The sequence below is a fragment of the Homo sapiens genome, chromosome 2, assembly GCF_000001405.40.
Source record: "Homo sapiens chromosome 2, GRCh38.p14 Primary Assembly".
Classification (NCBI taxonomy): Eukaryota; Metazoa; Chordata; class Mammalia; order Primates; family Hominidae; genus Homo; species Homo sapiens.
In genome coordinates, this window is record NC_000002.12 from 160,033,815 (window position 1) to 160,060,801 (window position 26,987).

At 43.1% G+C, this 26,987-nt stretch overlaps 1 protein-coding gene and 1 long non-coding RNA gene across 18 annotated transcripts in view, besides 1 other annotated feature; one reads left to right on the plus strand and one right to left on the minus strand.

Annotated features, from left to right (window-relative positions):
* Positions 1–26,987, minus strand: part of PLA2R1 (phospholipase A2 receptor 1) — a 138,683-nt gene that overhangs the window by 109,882 nt on the left and 1,814 nt on the right. For all 16 annotated transcript variants that reach the window (XR_922892.4, XR_007071491.1, XR_001738672.3 and 13 more), the window contains exons 2-3: positions 10,960–11,343; positions 8,211–8,384 (exon numbers count right to left, since the gene is read on the minus strand). Coding sequence is in view for 11 of the 16 variants with exons in the window: in XM_047443729.1 (XP_047299685.1) it covers positions 8,211–8,384; positions 10,960–11,343 (558 nt within the window). In the remaining 5 variants the exon portion in view is untranslated. The remainder of the gene's footprint in view (positions 1–8,210; positions 8,385–10,959; positions 11,344–26,987) is intronic.
* LOC105373717 (uncharacterized) lies at positions 1,572–26,987 on the plus strand. Of its 2 annotated transcripts, none has more exons than XR_007087274.1 (3): positions 1,572–1,687; positions 22,312–22,416; positions 26,649–26,987. It is a non-coding gene; the product is annotated as an uncharacterized LOC105373717 (long non-coding RNA). The 2 variants fall into 2 exon arrangements; XR_001739756.2 differs by lacking the exon at positions 1,572–1,687 and adding an exon at positions 21,295–21,417.
* Positions 21,400–22,081: an enhancer, noted in NCBI's record as "OCT4-NANOG hESC enhancer chr2:160911725-160912406 (GRCh37/hg19 assembly coordinates)". NCBI's record gives its function as "activates a minimal SCP1, AML or CMV promoter by ChIP-STARR-seq in naive and primed H9 embryonic stem cells {active_cell/tissue: H9 hESC(naive and primed)}" and the evidence as "EXISTENCE:reporter gene assay evidence [ECO:0000049][PMID:30033119]".

Sequence of the window (26,987 nt, forward strand, 5' to 3'; positions counted from 1 at the left end):
TTGCTAACATTTAAAATCAAACTCCAAGGTGAACTAAGTAGCCACAATAATGACCGGAAACCAAACTCAGACAGAGAATGTCAGAATACAGAGAATGTGAGCCATACTGCAGCATGACTGAAAATGACTGACAGGCAACCAGCTGAAGTCTAGGATGGCCTTTCCCAAAGTGTGATTCCCAAAGTAAGACAACTTTAAGAGGCTCCCCAAGAAAATCTGGACACAATGCATACATAGCGTTCTCTGGGAAATTCACAATGAACATTAGCATATTCAAGGCTCTGAGAAGTTCTGTAGTAAAGAAACATGCTTACTGTTAATTTAGTGTACTTCAAACTTATTTGACAATAAAATCTTTTTTGTTTGGTTTTTTTTCCTCCCTCATAACAGTTAGATGGTCCCCTTGGGAAATGTGGAAAGTTTATTTTCATGTCTGGTTGCAACACACATTCCAGAGGTTTTAAATCACATATAAATCTAAGGTTGTCTATAGAGTTTCCTGACTGATACATGTGTTTATAGAAGGATCCAAGATTAAAGGAAGGCAGAAGACAAGGCTATCACCAAGTAACACTGAAGGGAAGGAAAAGAAAGAAAGGAAAAAGAGAAGGGAAATTTTCAGTAACCATTTTGCCCAGGTGGCTGAAATTTCCCCATTGAGATGGAATCCTTAAAGATTGTTTTCAGTTAAAATCCTAGGCCTTCCCTGAGAAGGACAATATACTACTACGTGTTACGAGACACTAGTTCAGCCATACTCATCCACCATGACAGCTGAGACCATGATGGGGGAGCGGGGGTGTGTTCATAGTTTTGGCATGCATAAGAATCATTTAGGACAGTCACAGTGGCTCATGCCTGTAATTCTAGCACTTTGGGAGGCTGAAGCGGGAGGATCACTTGAAGTCAGGAGTTCGAGACCAGCCTGGTCAACAAAGCAAGACCCTATCACTACAAAAAGAGAAAGAAAGATGCCGGGTATGGTGTCTCATGCCTGTAATCCCAGCCCTTTGGGAAGCTGAGGCGGGTGGATTGCTTGAGCCCAGGAGTTCAAGACCAGCCTGGGCAACATGGTGAAAATTTTTTTAGTGCTGACATGACGCCACAAGTAGAAAATTCGACACCTGACCTCGTGATGGGTTTTGGTCAATACTTTGTTTCATGCACAAAATTATTTTAAATATTGTATAAAATTACCTTCAGGCTATGGGTATAATGTATATATGAAACATAAATGAAGTCTGTGTTTACACTTGGGTCCTGTGCCCAAGAAACCTTATTATGTATATGCAAATATCCTAAAATCAGAAATCTAAAACACTTTTGGGCCCAAGAATTTTGGATAAGCGATACTCAGCCTGTATAAGAATTTGTACTTCTGTACTGGCAGACACAAGTCCTTTCTCTGCTTCTCTAGGATAGGCTGCATGTCCCTCCAGGAATCTCATTTGTAAGTTTTAAGTAACAAATGGAATGAAAATGTTGTCATAGACACTGTGATGTGCTGCTCTCTAAGGACTGCTTTGGCAGAAGAGTCTCTTTGCCCTTTCACTCTCCCTTCCCAAGGGCAGCTGACACCATGACTGGTCAATGTAGTGGTATACTTAGCCCCTGTATCCCAACAAGGGGCAACTCTGAAGGGTCACCCCAGCTTGAGAACTCTGAAAATCAAAGGCTGGTGTCTCAGGTATGTTTATTATTCTTGAAAAATTCTAATCTAAGGGCTAAAATCCTATTGTTATATTCTTTACATCTTTGATTGTGTTTATATCATCTCTTCTATTGCTAAATTATGGGCTCCAGGGAAGCAATTGTGTCATATATAACTTTGAGTCTCCTATTATGTGATGAGAGATTACCAGAATCTTTTTCATGGTGTTATAAATAGGTGATTTTTCCTTCCTAAACTACACCTCCTTTTTAATGAAGTGAAGTGCATACGTAGAATGACTTGGGAAGTGTTTCATCCTCTTCTAATTTCCCACTTAGTCTCATCCACTGAATCTAGCCATTAATGTATACCTTGTTTAAGGCCATCAATGACCCCTGTGTTGCCAAATTCAGCAACTGTTAGTTTGAGACTTTATCAAACAAGCCCCTTCATCAGCACTTGGCAGGCTGAGTTCCCTCTCCGTGCTGATTTACTCTCTTTTCTTGACTTCCCATGCCTGGCTACCCTTATTCCTCCCTGGCTGCCCCCTTTCAGTCTCCCTTGCTGATTTATTCTTCTCTACTCAAATTAAATGTTGGAGGCCTTAAGACTTGGCCCTGAGCCCCCTTCCTTTCTATTCTATACATTCTTTCTACACATGGCTATCTAACCTGTTCTCATGGGTCCATTTCCTATAACTTCCAAATACATAGAGACCATTACATCTACCTACCTAGTCCACATCTCTACATAACTGACTCACATGTAACATGTGCAAACCTGAATAGTATTTAATTTTCTTTTCCAAATGTATATCTCCATAAACTTAGCTATGCATGTCAGAAACATGGAGTCTGAATTAATGTCTCACTTTTTCTCCTAGCCTCCAAGTTCTTAGGAGTGAGAAGTCCTACTCCTGGTTAAAAACCTATATGTGATTCTTGAGGTCTGACCACAGGCAGTTACAAAGGCTTTACCTGGTAGGCCTCATGGGGGAAAGCTGCCCCTACCCCAGACTTGGTGCTGAGCTGGCACACTGCAGTTTCTAAAGAGAGTCATAGTTAACGGTTCAGGCCCCTCAAGCCCATCGTGCTCTGTGTTATTTGCATTTCTGGTGCAGGTGCCTTCCATTCCTAGGTCTCTTTCTATGTGAGGCCTTGGGCCAAGGTCCTCTTCAGGTGCCTCTGCTGAGGCTGGGATGGAGTGGGAAGGAGGGGAATCTTGAAGACACTTTTTCCCCACCCTGACTCAGTGCTCAGTACTTTTCAACTCCTAGCTCTTCCCCTCACCTTACCCCAACCCAGAATCTATACAACTGAAAAGCCTTTGTTGTTGTTTAGTGTTCTCTCAATAGTGAGCTGAGCTGAACTCCACATCTGTGCTGATCCACTGACCCTCGATGGCTGTGCTGTTCCCTGGGGAAAAATGGAACGGGGGAGGTGGCGAATTCTTCTTTTAGTCTCTTTGTTATACCATTGTAGTGAGTGATCAACAGCTTAACACCTTCATTTTTGGCTTGTTGCTTTAATCAGCTACTCCAACACCTGACAGCTCTGCTGTCTCCAGCCCAGCTAAGCTCCTGACAACCAGGTCCTGTTCAGTTTATCTACAAGTTAGATCTTCAATAAATCCACATTTTTCCAATCCCCTTGCTGCCACCTAACTGAAGCCACCACTACTCCTGGCCCAGACTATTGCTCTAGCCTTCTACCTGGTCTCCAGGATTTGCCTATTGCTCCCTTCCAAGCCATTCAGTATAATAGAGCCAGAGTAATCCTTAAATATATATTTTTAAAATCATCACTCCCCTGCTTAAAACTCTTTTGATAGCTTTCTTTTGCACTTAGAATTAGGTAAGTCCTTACCTTTATGACACTCATGGACTCTGTCTGCCCTTTCAGAGTGTCTTGTTTCTCTCTTCTTCATTCACTGTACTCTTGCCACATTGTCTTTCTTAGATGGCAATAACCTCTTTCCCCCCTCAAAACCTTCAGATATCTGGCCAGTGACATGCTGAGGGCTGGGGGTGGAGGAGCAGTCAGCCTGGACAGGTGGGCGTATTTTATCACTGACATTGTTTGGAATGGTTAGAGCATGTGCCTGGTGACTCAAAAGCATGCTGTCTTTTACTTGGTTTTATTATTATTTTTTAGTTCTATTTAAACCATATACCCTCTTTATTGCCTGCATCCCATGCTGACCACTCCCTCTCCCCTTCCTTTGCACATGTCTGTATCATGCATCTCCGTGTGAATATCTCATTTCCCCACTTTCCATTTTGACAACTTCTACTCATCTCTTGGGCTACAGTTCAAATACAACTTCCTCAGGAAAACCTTCCATGACTCCCAATTTTAACTTCGGTTTCTCACTTGTAATACTGTATTTTCTTAAGGTAGAACTTATGACAAACTGTAATTATGTATTAATTTGGGTATTATACTTGAATGTGAATTTCATCAGGGCAGGCACTATGACTTTCACATTTCACATTCACGGTTATAACCCCAGGAGCCAGAGAAGTCCCTGGCACATAGTAGGTGTTCAATACATATTTGTTAAATGAATAAATGGATGAATGGTCTGTGGAAATGGAGGTCAAGGTCAGGCATGCATTGTTGTAGAAGTCAAGAGGAGACAGTGCCCTGAAGAAGGTATAGACAATTCTTTTGCGAATTCTCTCTATTTAGAGGATGAGAGAGAGAGGTGTTTTCAGGAGGCAGAAATAGGGATGAAAGAATTGCAGTATTTTTAAGATGTTATTTCAAGACTCGCACAGGTCTAACTGCTAAGGAAAAGGGCCCAGCAAAGAAGCACCCAGGGGTGTGCACTGGAATCACCTAGAAGTTTGTTAAAACACAGATTGCTGGGCTGCACTTCTAGAATTTCTGATATGATGGTCTAGGGTGTGACTGCTACTTTGCGTTTCTAGCAAGCTCCCAGGGAATTCCAACGCTGCTGGAACGGGGACCACACATTGAGAACAACTGAGATACAGGTTGGAGAAGGTTGGATGGGGCGCTCCAGAGCCCAGGTGGGGAGACTTGGCCCATGTAGGAGGAGGAACATCATCCTCGCGCATAGAAGGGAGGAAATAAAGATGGGCACAGATGCAGGTAGGCTTAAAGGTGAGAGAGCAGGAAGTTGCCAAACTGTCTGTCTGATGGATCTTTTTGCCATTATGAGGTAGGAACTGAGGTCAAATAATGAGAATCAGAAAGGAGATTGGAAGGTAGGGTTAGAAGTTAGAGGAGAATAGAGAGGTTGGCAGGGTCATTGTGGGGTGTGAGAACTGCATGACAGAAACATATAGCATTGCTGAGCCATGTTGAGGGCTCAGGAGAGAGCAGCCATACCTTTGTTGTATCAATCTGCTTGTTTGTCTTTTTTGTGGAGGGCGGGAGCGGGGGCAGGCGGGCGGCGACAGAGTCTTGCTCTGTCACCAGGCTGTAGTGCAGTGGCGCGATCTTGGCTCACTGCAACCTCCATCTCCTGGGTTCAAGCGATTCTTCTGCCTTAGCCTCCTAAGTAGCTGGGATTACAGGTGCCTACCACCACACCCAGCTAATTTTGTATTTTTAGTAGAGATGGGATTTCACCATGTTGGCCATGCTGATCTCAAACTCCTGACCTCAAGTGATCTGCCCGCTTCAGCCTCCCAAAGTGCTGGGATTACAGGTGTGAGCCACTGTGCCCAGCCTAAATCTGCTTTATTATATCACTCGAGCAACTGATCAGAATTATATAAAAATAAGGTTCAAGGGCAATCATATCATTTCACAGGTTGGTATCGTAAAAATATCTCAAATTAACTAAGTGTGATTCTGCAGCTCTGTAAGGCACACAACCAAGAGAGTCCAGAATGGCCCATAATTGCCTCTAAACAAACCCAGAGAGATTCCTGTGTGTCATCCTTTTTGCTGAAGATGTTTTATTACATCCTTCACCGCTAGTATATTTGTATATGTGTTTATGAATACTACATTTAAATTTTGCTCATTTACAATCAACTTTTTTTTTAAATGTAGCATCATTTTACATTGAGATATTTAAAAAAATTTCCCACATAAGAAGGATGAGATACAGCAGTACAGACCTTTACTTTATTCCACTCACTCTTCTCTGTCCTATCCACTTGTTGACCCCATGGAAAGAGCTATCAGCTTGCTCAGGTTTCAATCTCCGACACGTCATTTTGAGTTATATTGGCTACCGGGAGCCAAAAGTAACAAGAAAGGAAGAAAACTGGCACTGAACAAATAAACATGCTCTCTGCTGGTTGTGGTAAAGGGCAGGAGGGCTGGAATCTGGCAGGCTGTCAAGCAGAGGAAGCTTCTGAGCTGTACAAGGCTGAACAAATAGATGGTCTGGGGAATGAAAAGCCTGGAGCACCACTGAACCCAGGCTTCCACTGGGAAACTGTCATTGGAAGTTTCCCAGTGGAAACTTCTTAAGGTTTCAGAACCTTAAGAAGAATATTGTAGTTTTTTTTTTGAAGTCCCTAGTATTAGAGCCATGTGAAGTACGTGTTAACTTTATTAGTATTGGTTCATTTATTTGGTTTTAATAATGACCTCTATTGGGGATGGAAAAGGAAAAAGAAGAGATGATGCAAATAATATGACAATAATAAAAATAATATGACATCTGTTTCAGGAGTCAAGGGGTGTAGAGATCACATGCATACACACCTACATGCATACATTTAGATTCAAATAGAGAAGGCTGGTGATCTGACAGTTATAAAATAATAAAATGCTTTCATTCTGGTTGGTGAATAGCCACTGTTCTGAGCTTCTCTATTACCCCCACTACCCAGGCTTCCCTGCACCCCACCCCCACATTGTAGCAGCTAAGGGGTTAATATCAGCAGAGAGCCTCTGGAATTCCCAACCCCCACACTAAGGTCTCCATTGCGATTGACCAATAGCCCATACCATATTGGCTGTTAAATGTGTTGATATTATCCCTGTATATAGATGTATATTGCATAGAATTATCTCCATATTATTGCTTGATGATGAATTATCTGCACCGGGGTCACCTGGGGCACTTTTCAAAAATGCAGATGGTTGAGTTTTACATACTGCACCCACTGCATCTCTGGAAGATGGGCCAGGATATGCATTTAAACTATCTCCCAGGTGATTCTAGGGCATTGTGTCAAATACAGCCTGCATTTTCTGGCATACAGCAAACCTGTCTTCTCTCTAGATGCCAAGTTCCTTAAAGGGAGGATCCTAAGTCCTAAAACTCTTGGCATTCACCACTATGCATAGCTTAGTGCTTGTTGACTTACAGCAGAGAGGAGAAATCATGGATTCAGAAGTGTATGCTGAAAATATAAATTGGGTTTGATGCTGCTGCTGCTATTGTTGCTGCTGCTTCTGGCTGCAATGGTTAACCCTTGTGAGTACTTACTGTGTGCCAGATATTATGAAAAGTGCCTTGAATGCCTCATCTAATTGAATTGCACAATAATCCTAATAGGTACTGCTATTACCTACATTTTATGTCTGAGGAAACTGAGACTCAGATAGATGGAGAGAGCTTCCCAAAATTTCATTGTTGGGAGGAAGCAGGACTCCAATCTTGGCCTGTGTGATTATTTCAAAGCTTATACTCTTTCTTATTTGCTAAGCCATACTAGCTCTTGGATTAGAAAACAATTCTACAGATACTTTATAAGTCAGATTCTTTGGGGTTAATCTCTTCAACTTGCTTTTGCTTCAAATTTATTTGTTGCATTTTATATATGTGGAGGGGAGGCAGGCATGGGAGATGAAGACTGTAAAAGCTGTACTCTGACTCACAGAAACCAAGGGAAAGGAAATTGAATATAGAAAGTAGGAGGCATATATAAACATTCTCTAATACTTGGTAACAATTGGAAACTTTTTAGCTAAATAAAAATAAAATGAAATAATAAGGCACTAACTGAAAAAAAGAAGTTAGAACATTGCCACTGCCATTGAACTTTGAAAATCAAGTTAAGAAAAGAAAAAAAATGAGGTTATAGCCAGAAGGTAAATAGTAGGAAAGGGAGTCAAGACGAGAATCCACTGTCAAGAAATAATGAGGGCAATTGCGATTTTAGAAAGATCATCAAGGGGCCAGCTGGTGCCTGGGCTTGACAATGGGCGAGACAAGCAGCAGCCTGGATGTGGAGAAATTAAAGCAGCTCATAAGAGATAGTGGATTGAAAGGCTAACTGGGCTTTATATGCAATCAGGTTTGTTTTGAAGTATCCAGCCAAGAAGCTGGGATCAATGAGATCGCAGAGTATTTATAATTTGATTCTGGTTAAAACATCATTATGCACTGAGCTTAATGAAGAATGGCTAATTAACATCTCTTGAATGTACGGCAAAAAGAATATATATTAGAATTGTCTTTTCAAGGCAAAAACAAACCCCAAATCAAAATCTGTGTTAATAGCATCAGGGTTCTTATTCAGACTTCAATATATCAATCCCAGTGCTTTTGTTTAGATACAGATAACTTTCTAATCATCTTTGATTCATTCATGACATATAGAGAAGACAAAATTTATTCTTACTGGGATCAGGGCAAAATCCCCACTTTTCATCTCTTTCATAACGGCTTGTCGTGGCACACCACAGTAAGTCATCTTCCCGACCTTCACGGGTACATTCATGATGCCACTGATGGTTATACTGGAAGGGAAACATACACGGCATCCCGTGGGTGTTCCCTTTGATTGTATGCAAATCTAGGAGAAAGAAATGTACAAAGTCAGATAAGTATGATGTCAGCTTTATCTTTGGAAACTGCTATATATCGAAAGCATTTTTTATGGACTGAAACCCTCTTGGGGCAGATACTCACTACAGCAGAGTGAGCCCTCAGGTCCTCACTGTCTCCTGTCAGTAGAGGTGTGAGACTGAGTGCTGGGCTCAGAGGAAGTGCTGATACATGGTTTGCTTATGCATTTATCTACTTGTTTACTTACTATGGTGAGCTGTCACAGTAACATTCATATTTGTGGATGGATGAGAAAGAAACTTTAATGGAGATTTAACTTCATAATACCTTCCAGTCGCCAAACACATCAGCCATTAGCATCTAAAGCTCAATAGATTCATAGGCATTTATTAATTTATTCATTCAATAAATATTTATTGAACATTTAATGTACTCAGTACTGGGGATACAACAGTGAACAAACCAGCAAAAGTTCCTTTATGTGGAACTTCTATCAAGGAGAGAGAAAGAGAAAGCAAATATACAAGTAAACATACAGTATCATTGCAGGTAGCGGTGCCATGATGAAAAATAAATAGGATGAGAAGACAGAGTGGGGTGTGTGTGTGCGTGTGTGTGTGTGTGTGTGTGTGTGTGTGTGTGTGTGTGTGTATGTGTGAGACAGAGGGAGAGAGAGAGAGAGAGAGAAAGTGAGAGAGAGGGAGAGATGGGGTGGAGGGGCACAGGGCACTACTTTGGACAGGATGGGCAGTGAAAGACCTCTCTGAATAGGAACTGGGTGACCTGAGAGTGCAGGTCTTTAGAAAAGAGGTGATCCAGCAGAAGGAACAGCAAGTAAAAAGAACCTGAGACAAGAACAAGTGAGGGGGTGAATGAAGAAGAGGAAGGAGGCCCTCTGGGTAGGGAGCCAGGGACGTACTAGAGTGTCAGTGCACATAGAGCTGTCTCCCCGCCATACTGCGGGCTTTGGCCTCTACCCTGAGGGTGGGGGCAAGTCTCTTGCGGGTTTTGAATGGGAAAGTGACAGGATCAGATTTACATTTTTAAAGAACCACTGATGCCCTGTTTGCAAAGGGGCAAACAGCTGACATAGGGAGAGGGTGAAGCGAGACAGCTGGCTGGGTGGCTTCTCAGTGGTCTAGAGCAAGTCGACCATGCAGACGTGGCCTGCTGGCTGCCTTCTCAGGGTATTGCAATACTCGGCCATTCTTGGCCTTAATCAGGAATCAACAAAAACTTTTCATGACTCAACTGGGGCTGCCAATGGTATGTCCTGGGGCAAAAGGACCAGCAGTGGAGAGCCCCACCTCTTTCCCACAATTGGCAGGGGCTGACCTGAGCTCATGACATGTCACCAGTCACCAGCCTTAGCAGTTAGGGCTATTTAGGAACCGTAGGTATTTCAGGACATGCCCTTTTCTTTCAGTCCCCTTCCTTCTACTCCAAAGCATATGTTCCCCAGAATCTTCCCCTGCATGCACCATGAGTGTGGGTATGTGGCTAAAAAGTTAACATAAAGCAAAATATCAAGTTCCTCTTCAGAACTGTAGATTATTCAGAGTGCTGGTTTGCAGCACTTGCTTTATTTTAGTGAGTCCTGAAAATGCCTGGCCCTTGGCTCTGTCTCTTTTTAATCATTTCTTCTTTAGGAGTTCCTTGCTCTGCTTCCCAGGACCGTACAGAATTCTTAGGAGCATATGCTCTTGTGAAAGCATAATTCTACAGAGCAGCACGAGGGTAGGGGCTCCACCTGTCCTGTGGACCTTTGTAAACCAGGTGCCTAGTCCAGTGCCTGATGAATGTGGGGTGGATTTGTTAGCAGTGCTATACAAAAATGCGGGATGAATGGATGGATGGATGGATGGATAGATAGATGGATGGATGGATAGAGTGAGCTACCAAACAAAACGCTGAGGGACAGGTTTGAGATTTGAATTTAACTATGTAACTTTCTTTTTTTTTCTGTTTAGAAATGACAAAAATAACCATAGAAAATGAAATTCCCCTCTAAACCATGCTTCCCCACCAACCATGCTTGGCACACACCAAATAACCCCCGACAATAGTCTGTCATTTCTCTTCAAGTGACTTGTAACATGATTAATCACATGAATGCCAGCCAGCATCAGGAGGCATTGGAGGTGTCCTGGACACATACCTCCATAGGTGGGGATGAGTTTTTACAATAAGAGAAATGGCGGCAGGGGAGGAGAGATTATTATATTTGTCATGACAAAAGTCTTCAAAGATCTTTTCCTTCCACCGTCCTTTTCTCTCTCCCTCCTGTCTGCTTATTCTTTCTGCTCCCTTCCATTGATTCCCAGAGTCAGTTAAATGTTTTTCCTCCCAATACCTTTAAATTCTGAGAAGTTCTGCTTCTTTAGCAGAATGTAGTATGTCCATTCTGAGACTCTCATAACCCTTTTACCATAAGCAAGGAAGCAACTAAAATGTATTTAGCAGAAGTCCCTTGAGGGTCCAGGCTTCGTGTACTTCTTTCACGTAATGCTTTACAAATCTTTACTTATAGGCAAACCTTAAAAAAACACCATTCCCTGAGTGCTTCTTTAAATTATTTTTACCTTTGTGTAGATATTCACAAATGTCTCCACCACCTGACCCATAAGAAATCCACTTATGAATATACTTCCGTGAGGCCACCACTGTGTTGTCATGCGCCACCTGGACAGAGTACTGCAGCGGGCCTGTGATCATCTTCCTGTTACAGCGCCACCGTAAGGAAACGAGGGTGGAGTCACATTCATATAAGCTTAATGGCTGCTCTGGGGCGGAGAAATTCAGGCCCAGGCAACCACTGCCTCCTATGTTAAAGAGGCCATGGTTTGAAACCCATTTCCACAGCATGTGCTTGTTTGCTTGCTTGCAGTTCTCCAGGGTCAGAACCGATTTACCTGCTTGAATGCATTTCTTGAGACTCTCACTTTGGATAACAAATATTCCTTTATCTGAAACAAAAATCAAAGATGTGGCATGAAATTTTCATATATAATTAACTAGCGTCATGAGGATCTCAGTGTGCATATCTAAGTGCGATATGCGACAGTTGCCAGCCATTTCCCACAGATCTGGAGTTGTTGGGCAGGGTCCACCTGAAGGGCTGTATTTGCATAAAACAGAGGAGTTTCTTGGGAAGCATAAAAGGTCTTACTGGAGCTAATGGGAGAGCTCTGATCTAAGACCTAATTGGCCATATGGGAACAAGGGTTACCTGCCAATCCACTCAGGTCTGTTACTGACAGAGAAGGTGTGCTCACACAATTGGTTAGAGAGAGGGATTGGTAATAATACTCAGGGCTCCCGGGGAGGGACACTGGGTGCCAATGGATATGACAACACTGTCTTTCTCAGACAAGTGCCTGAATGTTAGGAACACAGCTGCTGAATCAAGAGCCACTGAATGAAACTCTCTACCATCAAGTTCCTATAGAAAACCGAAAGGCTATCAGTGAAATGCTGCTTTGTGATCTGATACGGGATTCAATACTGGTCAGAATACAATGTTTCTCAGGAGTACAAGGGTGGAGGTGGGGACCTCTTGCTATATGGGGATAGACTCTTAGTAGGAGATGGCTTGCTGGGTGGGGCAGGCAGAAGCAGGTAGATGCCCAGGCCACTAGCTATGGCACCACACCTTGAAACACGAGAGGTGACGGACCACCATTACGGTGGCAGAAACCAGAGGCCACATGGACAGGCGGAGAAAGCAGGTGTTTTGTGATATGCCCCTAAGCTCTCCTCCCCGGAGCTGGAAGAAGGGATTTGGGTGAGTTTCCCGTGGAAAAGCTGTGGGACCCAGCTGGGGAATACATGTTAGCTGCCAGCCTGCTACCTGACTTAACCCAAGTTGCGGGCCTGGAAGGCACCTAGTACTCAACAGTTATGAACTTGTTTTCTCACAGGCTTTTTGAAGATGGAAACAAAGTCTCATTTCTTTGGTCTAAGTATGGAGTGTGCTGGGCACATGGTGGAAATTCAGTCAGTGCTTGCTGTTGATGAAACACACCGGCTGCTGCTGCTTCAGCCTTTGGCTGCTTAAGTCACCTCAGTTCATGTCTGGTGAGGCCCAGGCGCTCTTTTGTTCTCCCAGTAGCTAGGTTCCCCTCTTCTATTTTACTTCCTGTCTATTCTTCAAAACTCTGAAGGGACAAGATAGGGTTCCCTCCAATGTCTGGGGTTTAGGGCGGGTCATGTAATGGAGGGCAGAACAGGTACAGGCAGAGGCTTTGGAGAGGTTTGGGACAGTGCAGGACGGGCCTCCTCATGGATCCACGAGGGAACAATGCTTCATTCTGGTAAACGTTCTTTTGGTTTCTCCAAAGTTAATCAGCCTGAGGAGAACTGATTTACAGTAACCAAAATCACTTAAGATACTGTTTCAAAAAGATTGTCAATGTATTAATAAATGGTATACCTCATCTAATAGTTGATGACCTTACCTATAGCCATAGATTTGAGGAGTTGAATTAGTTGTCAGAGAATTGCTTTGATCACCATACATAAGAGCAAAAGAGAGGGGGTGGGGTGGGGAAAATGAATGGTTTTAGGGAGATTTCATTTAGATCAGGAAATTTGTTTTCCTAATGAGGGCCTTGTCTGCATGGTTATTAGTAATAGTGATTCAAAATCAAATCCACCTCTCGTCAATGTGATATGGAGTCCGATAATTAACCTTCTGTCCAACTCTCCTTTTCACTTTTTCATGCCTGGGTAGAATGTTTACCTTAATTTCTGTTGTAACCTACTAATCACTTTCTAGCTAACCTAGAGTTCATTAATTTTTCATTAAAGGATAATTATTTTACTATAATGGTTTTGTAGTTCAGCTTCTACCTAATATATATGTTCAAATGTATTATAAGCTCTGCAACGTACTGACTGTGCCTCAGTTTATACACCTCAGATAGGTGTGTAGACGACCTGGCTAGTGGTTGAGAGCTCTGGAGTCACGTGGAGCTGTCACAGACCTGCTGTGTAACTTTGGGCAGATTGCTCCATCTCAGTGAGCCTCATCTTTCCTCCTTGAACTGGGAATATGTATGGTACTGACCTCTTAGGGATGTTAAGGATATTCCATTGAGTAACCCATGAAAAGCACACCACATACTACCATGAAAAGCCTTAGGAAATGGGAGCTATCATTATTACTTTATTCCTCTGACTTCCTGATTCTTGGTCTATAGATCCAGCTGCAGACCTGGTTGAACCTACAGAGTGCTAATCTCATCATCCCTCAAAGGCTTCTCTTCTTACACTGTTAGCACAAAAGCTTATTTTTACTGCAGTTTCTGCAGCACACAGTGGGTGCAGACATTTTAGTTTTAAACAATCCTGAGACACCACGCTATCATCTTTTATGGAGGAAAAATACTCTCCAAACAACCAGATAACAAAATATTTGCCTCCTTTGTTCAAATATGTGTGCAATGATGAATTAAGAGCCTTCATCTGTTGATTTTCTGCATTACCCACCTGTAAAGTCTACACTGTAGGTTTTTTAATACGAAAGAGAAAAATACATGGTGTTGACAAGCAGTGTGTAGATGCGGGAATGGCTGGTCTGTGAATAAATAGACATGAAAATTACAAACCTAACATTTGGGGTGAATAAATATTCTGTGGGGCGGTGAGTTTGAAACAAGGTCTTGCTCTGTCACCCAGGCTGGAGTGCAGTGGCACTGTCATGGCTCACTGAGGCCTCGGCCTCCCAGGCTCAACTGATCCTCCCATCTCAGCCTCCTGAGTAGCTGGGATTACAGGTGTGTACCACCATGCCTGGCTAATTGTTTGTTTGTTTGTTTTTGGTAGAGACAGGATCTCAATATATTGCCCAGGATGGTCTCAAACTCCTGGGCTCAAGCAATCCTCCCACCTTGGCCTCCCAAAGTGCTGGGACTACAGGTGTGAGCCACCATGCCTGGCCAATAATGCTTTTAAACTTCCAAATTAATAAATGTTAAGAGAAAAAGAGTGGCAGAAATTGGAACTTCTGTAGTCACACCAGCAATCATAAAAATACCTTTCCAAAGCAGAACATATTAGACACACCTAATCCATTGCTGCTTAATTTTGGGGTGCTACTTATATTTCCACACCAGCTGCCTTTAGGAAATAGCTTTAGAAAAGTTCTTCAGAATGTGCCATAGGCAAGTAGCTCTGGTTCACCAATAATAATCAACATGCTGCCTCCAAATATACTAAGTTAAAAAATGACTTGAGCCCATTTTTCCATTAAGTTATAATAGAATATGATCCTAGCACTGTTAATCTCCATAAATTCACTGAAAAGAATTACTTTCAAATAGACTGTGAGGAGACTTAATATAGGTATCAATATTCTGATTGTTATTATATGCACATAATGTCTCTAACAAAACTATAATGTGAAAATAAGCCACCAATCCTTAGTGTGCATAGTTGTTGGATTTTTTAAAAGATGAAAATCAAATGTGGGAGGAATCAAGATTGATTATACATGTCAAGGACATCAGTTCTGCTTGAACACTGATTAAGTGATTAATGAAGTACTGCCAGAATTACTAAATCTCTTTGCAGGAAAATGTTATTATACTTCCCTTCATAATTATAAGTTTAGGAGGAGAAAAAGGATTCATTTATTAGAAGAAACATTTTTTTTTTTTTTTTTTTTGAGACAGAGTCTCGCTCTGTCACCCAGGCTGGAGTGCAGTGGCGGGATCTCGGCTCACTGCAAGCTCCGCCTCCCGGGTTCACGCCATTCTCCTGCCTCAGCCTCCCAAGTAGCTGGGACTACAGGCGCCCGCCACTACGCCCGGCTAATTTTTTTGTATTTTTAGTAGAGACGGGGTTTCACCGTTCTAGCCGGGATGGTCTCGATCTCCTGACCTCGTGATCCGCCCGCCTCGGCCTCCCAAAGTGCTGGGATTACAGGCGTGAGCCACCGCGCCCGGCCAGAAGAAACTTATAAGCTAATTTCTATCCTTTTTTTTTTAAATAAAATCCATGGAAGACAGTGGTTCTACTTTCTACTTCTGAGTTCCTTTAGGAGGAGACCATTTCAGATCCACTCTTTGGCCCCATAAGATAACGTGTACTCTTCTAAGGAGCGGGAGGAGAATGTTTCATTGATCAACTTTTAAACCGAAGTTTAGGTTATTACCTTTATGACTGCATATGGAACATTCATTCATTCAACTAGCTTTCATTGGATGCCAGCTACTTCATAGACACTGGGTAAGATGCTAGAGATAGAGAGAAATTATTTGCCTAAATATCTGTTCTTTGAAACTGTATATATTTGTTCTGGAATCATGGGAATTTGCCTAGCTAATGAAAAGAAGGGAGTTCCATCAGTTCCAAAGAAAACATTATAATTGCATTTAAAATAAGCCCTTAATGGTGGGGCGTGGTGGCTCACACCTGTAATCCCAGCACTTTGGGAGGCTAAGGCAGGCGAATCACTTGAGGTCTCTACTAAGGATACAAAAATTAGCTGGGCGTGGTGGTGCGTGCCTGTATTCCCAGCTACTCGGGAAGCTGAGGCACAAGAATCACTTGAACCCAGGAGGTGGAGGCTGCAGTGAGCCAAGATCATGCCACTGCACTCCAGCCTGGGGGACAGAGCGAGATTGTGTCTCAAAACAAACAAACAAAAAACAACAAATAAATAAAATAAGTTCTTAAAAACAAGTGATAACACTTACAAGTGGGAGATGAACAATGAGAGCACATGGACACAGGGAGGGAAACAACACACACTGAGGCCTGTGGCAGGGGCAGGGGAAGGGAAAGCATCAGGATAAAGAGCTAATGCATGTGGGCTTAATACCTAGATGATGGGATGACAGGTGCAGGAAACCACCATGGCACACATTTCCCTATGCAACAAACCTGCACATCCTGCACGTGCATCCCAGAACTTAAAACAAAATAAAATAAACAATTATTTTAAAAGATTTAAAAAACCAAGTGATAACAAATAAGAGAAAGAAAATAAACCCAAATTTAAGACCCTGAACTGGCTCTTCAACTGATGTCACATGTGAGGTGGACAAGACCCCTCAGTGTCACCAGACTCTGAGCGGGGAGTGTGCACACACATGTACTTGCCCACTTTCTAGGGAGGACAAAGCAGGGCAGTGCTGGAAGGAAGACGGGTGTGGCAGAGGAGACTCACTTCACCCATAAACCCTGAACCGTGAACTTCAGAGCTGGATGGAACTGTAAAGATTATTTAACTGAACCACTCTTTCACTTTTTTTTTTCCAAATCCATTTTTGTCTTAGAAGTTTTATATCTATCTACTATATTCAGTCCAGGTGTAGCTTTATTTACATGCATTCATTTATAACTTAGAAGAAAATAAACTGCTATAGATTGTTGCCAAACATTTTGAAGTAGGTGACTTGAAATTTCAGACAACAAAGATCTATCAACTGCTTGATGTGGCATGGTTTAGGAACCCTGCAGACAGAAGGATATATATGTCATAGTGTTTGCCTGCAAGGAAGTCACATTCTCCCTGGGAATCCCTGAAATGCACAGAAAGAAATTATACCCTAATGCCAAAATATATTTTGACATAGGAGATATAAGCAAAAGGGGGTGCCATGAGGTTGGAGTCTAAAGCCTGGGGCCATTATTACAGTTTGATCTGTCTGTGTGAACAGCAGACTGGAGGTACCTAGAGGAAGTTTCTCCTGAGGCCTCTGCACTTGACCATCTGCACCCCTTCTGATCACCTCTACTTGCCTTTAGTGTTCCCTTTAGCTTTAGACAGCTCTTCTCTTAGAACTAGCTGAGTGAAGGTTTGAAGTGTTAAAGTGAGTAAGATAAGATTTGTACTGTTAAGCCTTTGTGAAGTTTCCGCATTTTTAACAAAAAACACTTTAAAGAAACAATAAAACAACAATTTTAATGGTGGCATTTTAGGCAAACAAAGGACTTTCTGGTATTCAATAAATTACACCATGAAGGTGTTCACCTAATCCAACTATACACATAAAGTCAGTCTCTGTGCTGCTCCATTAAGGGAACTGGAAGGAAAAGTTCCAGTGCATGGTTCACATCAAGTGCAATGCTTAAGACAAGCTATTAGAAAGCCACAGCATGCAGGCTGCAACCCAATTTCAATCTCCTACCCCAGTCCATAGGTTTGAAATTGCTTCTATTCCATCTACCCACAGAGCTAGTGCTGGGCTCAAGCCCTTCCTGCCCGGCAGCCTGTCTTGACTCTGTCCATTTCCTTGCTGTTCTGACATTATTAGGTTTCAGCAGGGATGCAGTCCAGAAGGAAATGGGGAGGGCATCTCTCCTCTGTAACCAATCTGGAGGTGAGCAGCTTCTCTCTTGAGATGTACTGACCTTTTCCAGCTTCACAAATTTGGGTTTGTCTTTATCTGTTCCATCTAGTGAACAATGGATTCAGAGCTGATTACGTTCCTAAGATTACTCTGTAGCAGGAAGGAATACTGTAAGCTGCTGAATCAAGTCCTATTCATGGCCGAGTGATGCAGAAAATCTGTATTCTTAATATGACCTTTCAAACCAATAAGTGAGGAATTTCTCATGCTTGCAGCAAGCAGCATGTGCATGGTTCTTCAAAGAAGAGATCCACGGAAGAAAGTGAAAAGTGGGCCAGCCCTTCCTACCTCTCTCTCTGCATGGAAATGTGCATTTTATCTGAAATCATCTGAGTTTTCATGTGTCTCTTATTCTGAAACTTTTGAGTTCCTGTCAGTTGCCTTCTATTAATCAACTAAAAAGTTACCCAAGTACATTTTTTAAAAAACCTCTTTGTCCTGTCTCAGAACTTTCTTCTCTTTCCCTGTCCTAGCATTGTCCTTAACTCTTAGCCTTCTTTATTCTCCTACAGCTTCTGAACCTAGATAATCACCATCTCCACAGGGCCGTGGACCGCTCTTGCTAAATCTTTTTACATGTTCTCTTCCATTTTCTCTCTAATCTCACCTAATTGCCTCTCCAAGTTTCATGAGGCACACAATAGTCTTTCTCACATGAGGGAAAAATGAAACCCAGCATAATCAGTGCCACCGGACTGCAGTTCTGTGAGGCTTCAAATTGTCTGTTACCAACCCCTGTGCCAGGAGGGGTTAACCCTTTCAGACTGTCCTTGCCACTCCCTGGCCATTCCCGTTCCCTCCTCTGTCCTCCTGCTCTGTCCTCATTTAGCAGTTGCTGACCCTGGCAGAAAATCTCTCTTCCGTGATTCTTTGCTAGACCTCTGTATCTTACCAATGAATTTTTAAACTGAGTTGAAAACATTTTTCTTCCTTTTAGCTTTTAGTCTATTCTCCCATTGTTTTGCCTTTATTTAACTGGAAAGTACTTAACAAACATTGCTGGTATAAAAATCATTATTCACAACAGCTCTGTGATTATCTTATTGACTCTGTTGAAAATATACCATCTCAGTCAAAAGGGTGCCTCATTACAAAGTGCAAGTTAGGGCAAGGACAAAAAGACAGAACACTGTTAAGATGCCCTCACAAATGCCTGCATATTAAAGCCCAGGGGGAAATGATTCAAAGACTGGGTCACAAAAACCAACAAAACCAGAAAACAACTCCATCATCAACCAAAACAACTCCGGAAATGATATGGCATTACTGAAAACAAAAGTGCTTACAATGAGCTATCCATCTTAGCCGCCTTGGGAGTATGCCCATTAAAAGAAAAATCATTTACTAAAGTGCAAGGTAGAAATGTTAAAAAACAAACAAAAAAACAAACAAACAAACAACTTTTAGTGGTAGATAGAGTGTTAGTCCCTGTATCGGTTTGCTACTAGGGTTGCCATAACAAAATACCACAAACTGAGTGGCTTCAATGACAGAAATTTCTTTTCTCATAATTCTGGAGGCTGGAAGCGTGAGATTACAGTGTGGCAGGGATGGTTCCTTCCAAGGGCTATGAGGGAAGGATGGATTCCTGGATTCTCTCCTTGGCCCCTAGAGGACCATCTTCTCCCTGTGTCTCTTCACATCATCTCTCTATGCATATTTCTGTGTCCAAGTTTCCCCTTCTTATGAGTATACCAGTCATAATAGACTAGGGCTACCCTAACTGCCTCATTTTAACTTGTTTACCTCTGTGAAGACCCTATCTCCAAGTAAAGTCTCATTTTTATACGAATTTGGTGGGGGGGGGGGGAACAATTCAGATCATAACCATCCCTATCATTCTTATTCAGGCTGTCTACATCATTTGCAGGGTCCAGGGTGCAATGAAAATACGTGGTTTTGGCTGGACATGGGGAAGTCAAGTCAATGTCCCTTTCCCTCAGGCCCACAGGAGATTGCAACCTCTGAGCTATAACGTGCTTAGAATACAGTACCTGGATTGAGGATATGTGAGAGGTTCCCACTCAGCCCTCGCAGAACCCACAGAAGTGATATCAGTACAGTGGTGACAAATACTGCCTTGCACTGCCCCGAAATGCTACAAGGCATCCACTCCCAGGGCCCAGGCCTCCAGTCCCCCAACTTCAATGCAACCTGGTTGCCACTGTGTGCAGCAGGCAGCATCAATTGTAGGGCAGGAGTTGGGAGGAGGCAGCTGAGAACCCGTCCCGGGAGGTAGACAGGGGACACCAGGCAGAATTGAACAGAGGCTCCAAACCTCTGGCTCAAGTTCCATTGTTCCATTGGACATCATGCGCAGCACACAAATTCAAAGATAGAAATGATTATGAATCCCAAGACCCCAAACCATGGAGCTTTAAACCCTAAGTGGAAGGAAGGCCCTTCTGAGTATAGGGCCCTGTGCAACTGCACTGGTTACATCCCCATGAAGCTCTCCTTGTTTGCATTTGAACAAGATTAACATTATGTAAAAAAGACCTTGGCAAACTACCGAGCACTTCTTTCAGGGCAGAACTGCTTAAAACCAGAAGAGTATCTGCCTTGGTTTTCCCATCTGCACAATGGGTTTAATAGTAATGCTGGGGCTGGGTGTGTAGTTCACACCTGTAATCCCAGCACTTTGGGAGGCCGGGGCTGGAGGACAGCTTGAGACCAGGAGTTTGAGACCAGCCTGAGCAACATAGCAAGACCCCTTCTTTACAAAAAGTTTAAATTTTATAATAAAAAGAAAAAAATAATAGTGCTGGCCTCACAAGGCCTTGATAGGGATTATCTCAGTCATGATGATCACTTTATAAATATTAATAAAAATAAAAGCCAATCTTAACTTTGAATATGAATGGTGCCAAAGAGCAGCAAAATGAAAAAATGTGTATAGTTAAATAATTACTTTGAGTTTCCTGTTTATATTTTCATGATTGAAAAGTTCTCAAGAGCAGAATACCAAAAGCTAGAAGTGGTAACACTATTTTATTTCCATATTTCTTTGGAACTGTAGTTGTCTAAAAAGTATCATAAATTAAAAAGCCAAGTGGCTATGACTTTTCTGTCTTGTTTAGCTCTGTGTCACAGAACCCAAGTTACAGATATTCTAATCATAATTTTCTAATTTTCTTGAGTGGCTTTATAAAATGTTTTTCCCTAAATGACTTAATATAGTGTTTATATGGTGTTCTTTTGTTTATTTTATGAACAATAATATTTCTTTTTGCTTTGATCAATTCAAAATATAATTTATGCTCCTAGCTATGTGTTGGAACATCTCCAAAAGGCTCTCAAGGATAATTTCTAAAAAAAAATGGAGGGAAGGGTTTATAAATGTCTTAAATCAATTACTTTGATAGATTACATGAGGATTTGCAGCATTAGGATTGAGTTCAGAAGAGGCAACACAAGGGGACCGTTTCTTCAGAAAACTTGATATAAATAAGCAGATTGTTAGGTCAAAGAAGGGGAGCTGCAGGGACAACTAAGCTATCTGTGTGGCCCCATCTTTCCTGTGATGGGCTTGGAACCTGCATTGTGTGGCATCAGTTACTGTGACAACCAACAATAGGAAAAGAGTTAGAGGCTTAACAAGAAAGAGTAAATAGGACCAGAAAAACTGGACATCTATGCTGACTCACAAAGGCTTGCCAGGAAAGGAGCCAGGCAGAGAAGGTAGGATGAGAAAAGTATGAAGGGGAAGAAATGCGAGGGATGACAAACAGAAATGGGAGAAACGGAGTCAAGAAGGCTGGCATGATTCAGGGCCAGGAAGGGCAGCTAAACCACTATCCGATCACGCTTTTACTGAAATTCCGTTTCCAGATTAGTAGAATGGCTCATTGCCTAGGGACATCAGAATTGCCTAGAACAATACATAAATCAGTAGCTTTGCACATTTCTGCTTTAGGAAAATATCACTCCCACATGTGGAAGGAGGGGTTTGGAAAAGGAGGAGTTGCAGAGAACAAGAGGCTGGCCTCCTATTCTTCCTGCTGTGAAACCAAATCGCATGCTTCTGTCATGCAGCAGGATACAGAATGAACCACACCATGGGGTCACAAGGCTATTCAGGGATCCTTTGCATTAGTGCAGAGTGCTTGGTTCGAATCCCCATGCTGCAAGCTCCTGTGGGCACAAGTTACTTAACCCTTCTTCATCTGTAAAAGAAGGGTATGTATTAATGTTGCCTACCTGTTTTGGTGAGGAGACAATGTGTCGATGTAAATAAAACAACAAAGAGTAACGACTCCCCAGCTGTTAGAAAATACTAGAAGCAGTAGAGGGGCATTTTTACCTTTGTATTAGAAACAGAAGCTATGCAGGAAATCTCAGGGCTACAGCTTCTCCCCACTGCCGCCTCCAGGTAGTGGCTCTCATCGCCCTCTTTCAGAAGGTGGCAGCTACCCCCCTTCCTCGCCACTGGGGCCCTCTGCCCTGAACCATTCTTCCCCCCATTCACCATGGCTTTGATACCAGCAGACTCCCCGCTATTCTCCACACCCCAAAGCCACTTTAGCTTCCATACAGATGACCCAACACTCTGACTCGATGCTTTCCCCACTGCAGGTTGTGGCCCATTTATGGTCTTGAAATCAACTGAATGTGTTATGACCAGCGAGACAAAACGAAACAGAATGGAACAGGGGGAAATGTAGCAGCATGTCATATTAGGTAAGGGTATTTTTTAAAAAATGAAACATTGTTTCAGTTATACATATGTAGACCTATATGCTGTGGGTTGTGATGTAAAATGTATTTCTTATTGTGGTTTGCTGACAAAAGAGTCCCAAACTCTACTCGACTTTAGCTTTGCTCTGGACATTGGGCTCCCTGACCTCCTCTGCTGTGAGGACCTTCTTTTGCCTCTTCTTCACTTTGGTGACCACTCCCACAAACACAGCTTGGATCTGGTCACTACCAAGAATAGGTCCATCTCCAAAACTTGGATTTTGCACTCTATAACCACTACCTCTCCTATTCTGCAATCTTCCCTCATCTAACTTTCACTAACTGTTTTCTTTTGTTGTTGTTTTTAAATATATATTTTCCTCTTTTTAAACCCTGTTTCTTGAACCCAAACTTTCTGCTCCTCAATCTTCCTATTGGGACTGACTTAGCTCAGCTTTAACTATCCAGACGGTTTCTTTGCTGCCTTCCAGAATTACCCTCTTCAAGGTGATAGGAGACCCTCTTCAAGTCCCAGACTGAACATGGCACTTCTAAACTTAAACATGCAATCTGGTTCCCCTTTGTGCAAACCCACAGGGCCCTTCTCAGCAGTACCCAATTCACTCAGCCAGACTTTTTCCAGAAGCAGGGTGCCTCCAACCAAACTCTTCCTCATCTCTCTCATGCTTCCAACTATAGACATGTCACTGCTTCTTGTTTTGCCTGGGACCCTACTCTGGTGGTCTATACCATCCACAGCCCTGGATGAAGCAGCATCCATCCCTGTGTCCACCTCCTGCCTCTACCATGGCCAATTAGCCAGGGGAAGGCCTTCGACTTGAGGGCAGAGCACAGGAACTAGCTAGCATGCTGTGAAGAATGTAACCAGACCCCTCTCCTAGGAAATTAAGGGACTCTTCCCAGGAAGCTAAGGGAGCTACAGAGGAAAGTCCTACTAGTCAAAGCCAAAGAAACAGTCAACAGAAAGAACAACCAAGCAGGAACCACCATAGAGCCCCAGAGACAGAGAGAAACAGATAAAGTAATGCTTCATGTCAGTGGCCAGTGCCTGTTTCCCAGGAGGCCTGGCTGCCCTGAAGAACCTGTCCTGGGTCCCCCTTGAGATCCTGGGACCATTACAACCAACTCCACGTTTGCCTGAGTGACCTTCAGTGGGCCTCTTTCCTTGAATCCAAAAGAGCTCAGAAGGGAACTTTCAGCTCACTGAACTTTTACTGTTGCCTGACACGTGATCCTGGGCCTTTGCACATGAAATACATGTTCCCAGGAATGCTCAGTCTCCTTTTTCCTATATGGTAACTGCCTACTTATCCTTTAGGAAAACAAATGTCTTTTTATGAGCCTCCAGCTCCCCAGGCCAGTGCCTCCTCTGCATGCCTTCAGCACTTTGCTCATCCCTGGTTATCATAAGACCTCTCTCACTGTTTTGTAATTGTTTATGTTTCTGTATCTGTCCCTGGACTCTCAGCCTCTTGGGGCCAGTGTCATATCCTACTCATGTTTTTACCTCCCCAATCTGGAGGTGGGTAGCAGATTCTGTTGGTTTCCTTCTCACACCCTCTAACCTGGAGCTCACTCACCTGCAGACAGTCCTCGTGCACTCCCACTGACTTTCTGTGGCTCTCTGCCTGGGAGAGACCAGGAGCACCAGGGGGTGAATGCCCCAGGAGTGACCTTAGTCAATAAGAGGCGGGAGTTGGTGGATAAATACTTCAGCTTCCTGCCCGTTGGTGGGTCCACTGAGTTCTATACAGTTCCTCAAAGGGTCCTTTGTGAAACTGAGCCCCAGTGGTCTGTGGTGGCTTTCTTCCCTCTCTGGTCTCATGTCCTCACTCCCTTACCATGCTTTCTAGAATCACCTCCAAAAAAAAAAACTACTTGCACCCTAAGGAAAACATGTCTCAGGAATTGCTTTTGGATGAACCCAACTAAAACAGGTAGATAAAGCACATATTGCCTGACAGATAATGAACAACTGAGGCCATCAGCCCCTACCCCTCTTTCCGTCGGCGCAGCATGTCGAGAGACACCCCGTACACCCAACCCTGTTTCACTTTCTTCTCCCCAGATAGGACCTGATGGCAAGCACACTGACCACACACTCATCTGCACCCTCACCTCCTTTGATCACTGGTCATTTAGAAGAGCCTCCCCTGAGTGTCCCCAGGCACTGACACAGACTTAGGTTCTTTCCACTCCTGCTCTGGGAAGCTGAGCACTACAGAAGGAAACTCTCCTACGATATATTAGTGGGGGACCATTTCACATTTATCATTTTTCAACCCTCAACAAAGCTTCAAAACCCTTTTACTTGCCCCCTGATCATTTCCTTTAGCAATGACTATGCCCAGTTTTCACCAGGATGCTCCATCCCCTTCTTCTTTCTCCCCGCTGTCCACTTTGTATCTGGAGTACTTGAGTGAGTGAAGTTAGTGTGTCTTAGCACTTGCTAGAAGAAGGGCTCAGATTCTGATCAGGGAAAACAAACTAAAATCAGGCTCCTTGGAATAACCAGCTAGAGCAAAGGTCCCCCACCTTTTCTGCCCCAGGCACTGGTTTCACAGAAGACAAATTTTCCACAGGCCAATGGGGTGGTGGGGTGGGGGATGGTTTTGGGATGACTCAAGTGCATTACATTTATTGTGCACTTTACTTCTATTATTATTACATTGTAATATATAATGAAGTAATTATACAGCTCACCATAATGTAGAATCAGTGGGAGCCCTGAGTCTGTTTTCCTGCAACTAGACGGTCCCATCTGGGGTGACGGGAGACAGTGACAGATCATCAGGCATTAGATTATCATAAGGAGCTCGCAACCTAGATCTCTCACATGCACAGTTCACAATAGGGTTTATGCTCCTTTGAGAATCTAATGCCACCACTGGTCTGACAGGAGGTGGAGCTCAGACAGTAATGTGAGGGAAGGGGAGCAGCTGTAAATACAGATGAAGCCTCTTTTGTTCACTGTTGCTCACCTTCTGTTGTGTGGCCCAGTTCCTAACAGGCCACAAACTGGTAGGTGGCCTGGAGGTTGGGGATGCCTGAGCTAGAGGTAGGAGGAGATGAGTTTCAGACCTGCCAAGTACAGTGCTGTGCACCGTAGTAAGTAATTGTTATGGGGCTGTCAACCTGTCAAAATGTCTGGATTGGCCAGAGGAAGAGGGTGCCATGGTGAGAGAGCAGCAAAAGGACAACACTTAGATGTGTACTATTACTAGCTCCATTTTACAGATGAGGAAACTGAGCTACTGACTGGCAAAATACCTGTCCAGGGTCACACGGATGGTAAATGGCATAGTCAGGATTTGAACTCAGATCGTCTAGCTCTGAAGCCCGAGAACTTAACTACTATATAATACTGTATCTACTGACTTTTGAATACAGAATTGTATTACTCCATTTTCACACTGCTGAAAAAGACATACCCAAGACTGGGAAGAAAAAGAGGTTTAGTTGGACTCACAGTTCAACATGGCTGGGGAGTCCTCAGAATCATGGTGGGAGGCGAAAGGCACTTCTTACGTGGCAGCGGCAAGAGAAAGATAAGGAAGAAGCAAAAGCAGAAACCCTTAATAAACCCATCAGAGGTTGTGAGACTTATTCACTATCACGAGAATAGCATGGGAAAGATTGGCTCCCATAATTCAATTACCTCCCCCTGGGTCCCTCCCACAACACGTGGGAATTCTGGGAGATACAATTCAAGTTGAGATTTGGGTGGGGGCATAGCCAAACCATATCAAGAATTATTGATAAATCATTGGAAAATCATCACAGTACAATCCATCATCTGCCTCCCAAGGCTGGCATGCTTGTAATACATATCAGATCTACAAATAATACATATCAAACAATTCAGATAAAAAATGCTGTATGTATAATCTGCTGTGCATTATTACATAGCCATTATTAGTGGATTGGAAATGAAAATGAGTGTGCATTTTTCTCTCAGTTGCTCTGTGGATGTCAATCGTGGCTAAAGTGAGTCAATGTGGTACAGTGAACACAGCGGTAAACTGAGGCACCCCAAAGCATGGCTAACTACATGGTAGCCATACCTCAACTTCCACATCTGAAGAATAGAGGGCTAGAGTAGACAATGTCTCAGGTTCTTTTCAATGTTAAGATTTTGTTTTTCCATTTTGTATTGACAGTAAAAACTTGACTTCAAACCTGTCCAGCTTACACTTGAAATTCTACTCATGCAGGTGACTGGAGTCAGGGAGAGAGCCTGTGCCTGTGCGAGGAATGGTACATAACCTCCGTGCTCCTTGGAAAATCAGCAGCAGCATTTTCATATCTGAAGAATCTCTATGCCAACTATGTCAACCTTTTCAGATGTGCAAATTGCACCTAGTAGGTACAAGGGCTAGCAGATGGCTCTAATTTCAGAGTGCCCTTGACTACTAAAAAGAAGGCACTGATGAGAATTTGTCTCAGGCCAGTATTTGGTTCTGCTACATATAGAAGGGATTAGCCCTTCACTCGGAGGATCACCAGCACATACTCTCTGTGTGGCCCAGTCCAACTTCTGTCCTGTGGGCTGC